Here is a 4,972-nt window from a genome sequence, read left to right on the forward strand (position 1 = left end):
TCTTAAGGTTGGTGGAATGGGACATCAGTTTTGCAACGTTAAGAATTAAAAAAGAAAAAAAAAAAGAGATCTTAAGGTTGGAAGAGACCTTCCCTTCAACAGCCCTGTCTTGCCCTGCACTGCTTGTTGAGAGAGATACAAGAGAAGCAAGATGTACTTCCCATCCTCAGGATGATTCATCTAAATGGGGAGAAAACATGCTCAAGAAACAATTCTGTGATGACGCAAGTCAGCACGCAGCTCAGCAAAGGGAGAGGGACTGGGGAAGAGCAGAATGTCTGTTCAAGATAAAAATAGGTAGATGGAATGTATTGACTTCAGAAGAATTTGCTTAAGTACAAAGGACTCCCCAGGCCCTCAGCTTGCTGCCCACTGCCAGAAGCCACAAATTTCATCTGTTTCTACCAGGAAGCTCTGAGGGAGCTGTGACCTGCCGATGGTGAAGAGGCTTTGCAGGAGGGTGGGCTCACCTCCCAGCTTCAATCAGATTACTTTTATACCTAGGGCTCCAGATTAAGATTTTCCTTGGCCAGGTACGGTAGCTCATGCCTGTAATCCTAACATTTTGGGAGGCTGAGGCAGGTGGATCCCTGAGCCAAGGAATTCAAGACCAGCTTGGGCAACATGGTGTAACCTCACATTTACAAAAAATACAAAAATTAGGCATGGTGGTGTGCGCCTATAGTGCCAGCTAGTTGGGAAGCTGGGGTGGGAAGATCACTTGAGGCTGGGAGGTCAAGGGTGCAGTGAGCCATGATTGCACCACTGCACTCCATCCTGGGCGACAGAGTAAGACCCTGTCTCAAAAAAAAAAAAATATTTTCCCTGAGGACAGATTTCTATGTTGAAAAGTTTGAGAACCACAGATCTACAGGACAAAGTCCTAGTGTTGCAGCGGGGTCTTCTGGGCCCTCCCCTCCTCCCAGTCTGGCTCTCGCTGACCTCTTGGACTTCCTCAGATCCCAGGCACTGCCATTTTATGAATACCTCCTCACTCTCTTGTGCCTCTGTCTGCTGAGTGAATTCCTCATCTCCCTCAAGCTTTATCTCCAGCATCTTTTCCTCTTTGGACTCTCTCCTCATCCATCACCTTCCCCTACCTAGAGCTGATACCCCGCTCCTTTATTAAAGCATTCACCACACCCTGTGCTGCAACTTTCTTGCCAGCCAGCTATGAGCATCCTAGAGACCAGCCACACCCTTCTCCATCTTTTTCGCCTCAGCAACCAGCATAGTGCCTGGCACTTAATTTGCGAAGGCATTGTGTGAATTGCTACATGTTTGTTTTTCCGAGTTCCCGTATTCACTTGCATAAAAACATATGACACTTATTTATTCATTTTTATTTTTTACAAAAGTTTATTTTTTATTTTATTTTTTGAGACGGAGTCTCAATCTGTTGCCTAGGCTGGAGTGCAGTGGCACCAATCTTGGCTCACTGCAATCTCTGCCTCCCAGGTTTAGGCAATTCTCCTGCCTCAGCCTCCCGAGTAGCTGGGACTACAGGTGCGTGCCACCACACCCGGCTAATTTTTTTGTATTTTTAGTACAGACAGGGTTTCACTGTGTTAGCCAGGATGGTCTCAATCTCCTGACCTCATGATCCACCCGCCTCAGCCTCCCAAAGTGCTGGGATTACAGGCGTAAGCCACCATGCCCAGCCAAGTTTATTCTTAAATGTGCAATAGGCTCCAAGACAACTCTTTATTCTAGTTATATGTGGTAAAAGATATTATGGTAGAGAATCCAGATGTTTAAATAGGAATGGAATTGAGGGTCATCATCATCTCAGGCACAAGGAGCAGCTTATTTGCCAGATTTCTTTTTTTCCCATTATAATACTTCTAAAAAAATTGGCACATTGTACATATTTATGGGAACAGTTTGATGTTTCCATACATGTGTATGTTGTATAATGATTAAACTAGGGCATTTGGCATATTCATCACCTCATATATTTGTAATTTCTTTCTTTTTTTTTTGAGACAGAGTTTTGCTCTTGTTGCCCAAGCTGGAGTGCAATGGTGTCATCTTGGCTCACTGCAACCTCTGCCTCCCAGGTTCAAGTGATCCTCCTGCCTCAGCCTCCCAAGTAGCTGGGATTACAGGTGCGTGCCACCACGCCCAGCTAATTTTTTATATTTTTAGTAGAAATGGGGTTTCACCATGTTAGCCAGGCTGGTCTTGAACTCCTGACCTCAGATGATCCACCGGCTTCGACCTCCCAAAGTGCTGAGATTACAGGCATGAGCCACCGCGCCTAGCTGCATTTGTAATTTCTTTGTGGTGAGAACATTTAAAATCCTTGCTTCTAGCTATTTTTTTTTTCTTTTCTTTTTCTTTTTTGTTTGAGACAGGGTCTCATTCTGTGGCTCAGGCTGGAGTGTAGTGGCACAATCATGGCTCACTGCAGCCTCGACCTCTTGGGCTCAAGCGATCCTCCTACCTTAACCTCCCAAGCAGCTGGGACCACAGGTGCGCACCACCACGCCTGGCTAATTTTTAATTTTTTTTTTTGTAGAGATGGAGCCTCTCTATGTCGCCCAGGCTGGTCTCAAATTCTTGGGCTTAAGTGATCTCCTGCCTTGGGCTGCAAAGTGCTGGGATTATAGGTGTGAGCTGCTGTGACCAGCCTTCTAGCTATTTTCTAATATGTAATACCTTACTGTTAACCATGATCACCCTAGTGTGCAATAGAACAACAGAATTTATTCCATCTTTCTAATTGTAACTTTGTACCCATTGACCAACCTCTCCCCATCCTCCCTTCTCCCCTTCTCTTCCCAGTCATAACCACTGTTCTGTTCTCTGTTTCTATGACATTAACTATTTTTTTTTTTTTAGAGCCCACATATGAGTGAGATCATACAGTGTTTGCCTTTCTGTGCCTGGCTTATTTCACTTAACATGATGTCTTCCATTTCAACATTCTGTGGAAAATGACAGGATTTCATTCTTTTCTATGGTTGAATAATATTCCGTTGTGTATATTTGCCACATTTTCCTTTTCCATTCATCCACTGATGGATACTTGGTTGATTTTATATGCTGCCTATTGTGAGAAGTTCTGCAATAAAAATGAGAGTGCAGGTATCTCTCCAACATACTGATTTCATTTCCTTTGGATATATACCCAGTAGTGGAATTGCTGGTTCATACGGTAGTTCTAGTTTTAATTTTTTGAGGAACTTCCATACTGTTTTCCACGGTGGGTGTACTAATTTTTTTGCCAGATTTCTTAACTCCACCTGTATCCAGGGCCCCTTCAGCCTCTGTTTGTTTCTGCTTGAAAGCCACATCTTCCTTGTCCATCTCCTTGGCCTGTTCCTTGTGCTGTTTCAGGGGCTGCTTCTTGCCACCTTTGTGTCCAGACATGGCACCTGCTGCCTCTTTAAAAACATATGGCATTTAAAATGGGGCGCTCTCTATCTAGCATGGGGGTTAGTAAACTATGGCCTGTGGGCCAGATCCAGTCTGTGATCTGTTTTAGCCCACAGATTAAGAATGGTTTTTATATTTTTAAAGAGATAACAAATAAAAACTAAGAAAATTATGGGACAGAGACCTGTATGTGGCTTGCAAAGCCTAAAATATTTATCTGACCCTTTACAGAAAAAAATTGCCAACCCAGGGGACACTATCAGAGGACACTATGAAAAGTCATGGGATTCCATAGGCTGTGAGGAGTGGATTTGCACTAGTTAACACTAGCTGACACTTAGCTAACATAATCAATTTTTTTTATGTGCCAGCTGCTGTTCTAAGGACTTTACATATGTTAACTCGTTTAATTCTCCTCCAAACCCTGAAAGATAGGCATTATTGTTAGTCTTATTTTATAAATGAGGAAACAGAGATACAGAACATTTGATGTGGTTAAGGTCCCACAGTGGCTTTCTTTCTGATGGATTTGAGACGCAGCGGGCCATGGTGGTTGAGAACAATGGGCTCTTGTGCCACTCTGCCTAGTTTCAGTCCTGGCTCCACGATTTAAATGAGTCTCTACTTAAAGTGCTTACCTTAGTGCCTGGTATAGCATGGGAACTAGGTAAGTATTCCCTAGTATTATTGGGGTGCTGCAAAGTCACATTCACAAATAGCTTCTGTTATTATAATGGAATAGAGAAGATCACTCACTAGAACTGGAGAAAAACAGTCAGATTGGGAGAACTATGTTTCCTAGCGCACTGTGCATGATGAGGGCAGTCATGGATAGAGAGTGTGGTGTTGACATAAAGGTGTGTGAATTGAATGAGGGAGCAGAATGGTGATGTAGGATGTGTGTGTGTGTGCGCGTGTGTGCATGTGTGCGTGTGTATATGAATGTGGGGGGACAGTGAGGGAATGTGAGAGAAACGTTTGTGTGTTTAGCTATTATCGTAAGTATAAAACTTTGGAGACAGAATGAGAATGTCTAAGGAGGGTTGTTGATTGGGAAGGTTTTGGGGTAAAACACTTGCATAAAACTTTATAAGAAAACCCCAAGACTGATACTGTTTTTCAAAGCTTCTGAAATGTTATACATGTTTTCTTTGAACACATCTTTGAGAGTGGATCACTCAGAGGCCAGGATTTATATGGATTATGTTGTGTATTGACTGAACACAGGAACTAGTATTGGCCTCTCCACCCGTGATCCTAGAAAGTGATTTTTCGCCCAGGAAATTGACAGGCATGTCTGAAAACATTCTAGAAACAGATGGCTGAGAGCAAACTAGAAGAGCTCTATGAACTAGAGTGCCTCTAGAACCGCTGCCGTAGGTCAAAGGTGCTGGGAACATTTAAAAATCTCTGAGATGAGTCCCAGGCATCTGGTGGTGGTGGTGGAACTGGCTTGTACCACCTTGGAGGAGCCAATTGTGCCTAGATATTCCCAACTCCATTGTTCAGCAACATCCATTTGGTAGCTTGAAATTGGCCATGATAAAGGTATTTACATTATAGAAATTGACAAATGCTACACATCAGAGTT

The 4,972-nt window shown here is 43.3% G+C and overlaps 1 annotated feature.

The window, feature by feature from the left end:
- Nucleotides 3,532-4,226: an enhancer, noted in NCBI's record as "OCT4-NANOG hESC enhancer chr2:65861277-65861971 (GRCh37/hg19 assembly coordinates)". NCBI's record gives its function as "activates a minimal SCP1, AML or CMV promoter by ChIP-STARR-seq in primed H9 embryonic stem cells {active_cell/tissue: H9 hESC(primed)}" and the evidence as "EXISTENCE:reporter gene assay evidence [ECO:0000049][PMID:30033119]".

This window comes from Homo sapiens, chromosome 2, assembly GCF_000001405.40.
Source record: "Homo sapiens chromosome 2, GRCh38.p14 Primary Assembly".
Taxonomy (NCBI): Eukaryota; Metazoa; Chordata; class Mammalia; order Primates; family Hominidae; genus Homo; species Homo sapiens.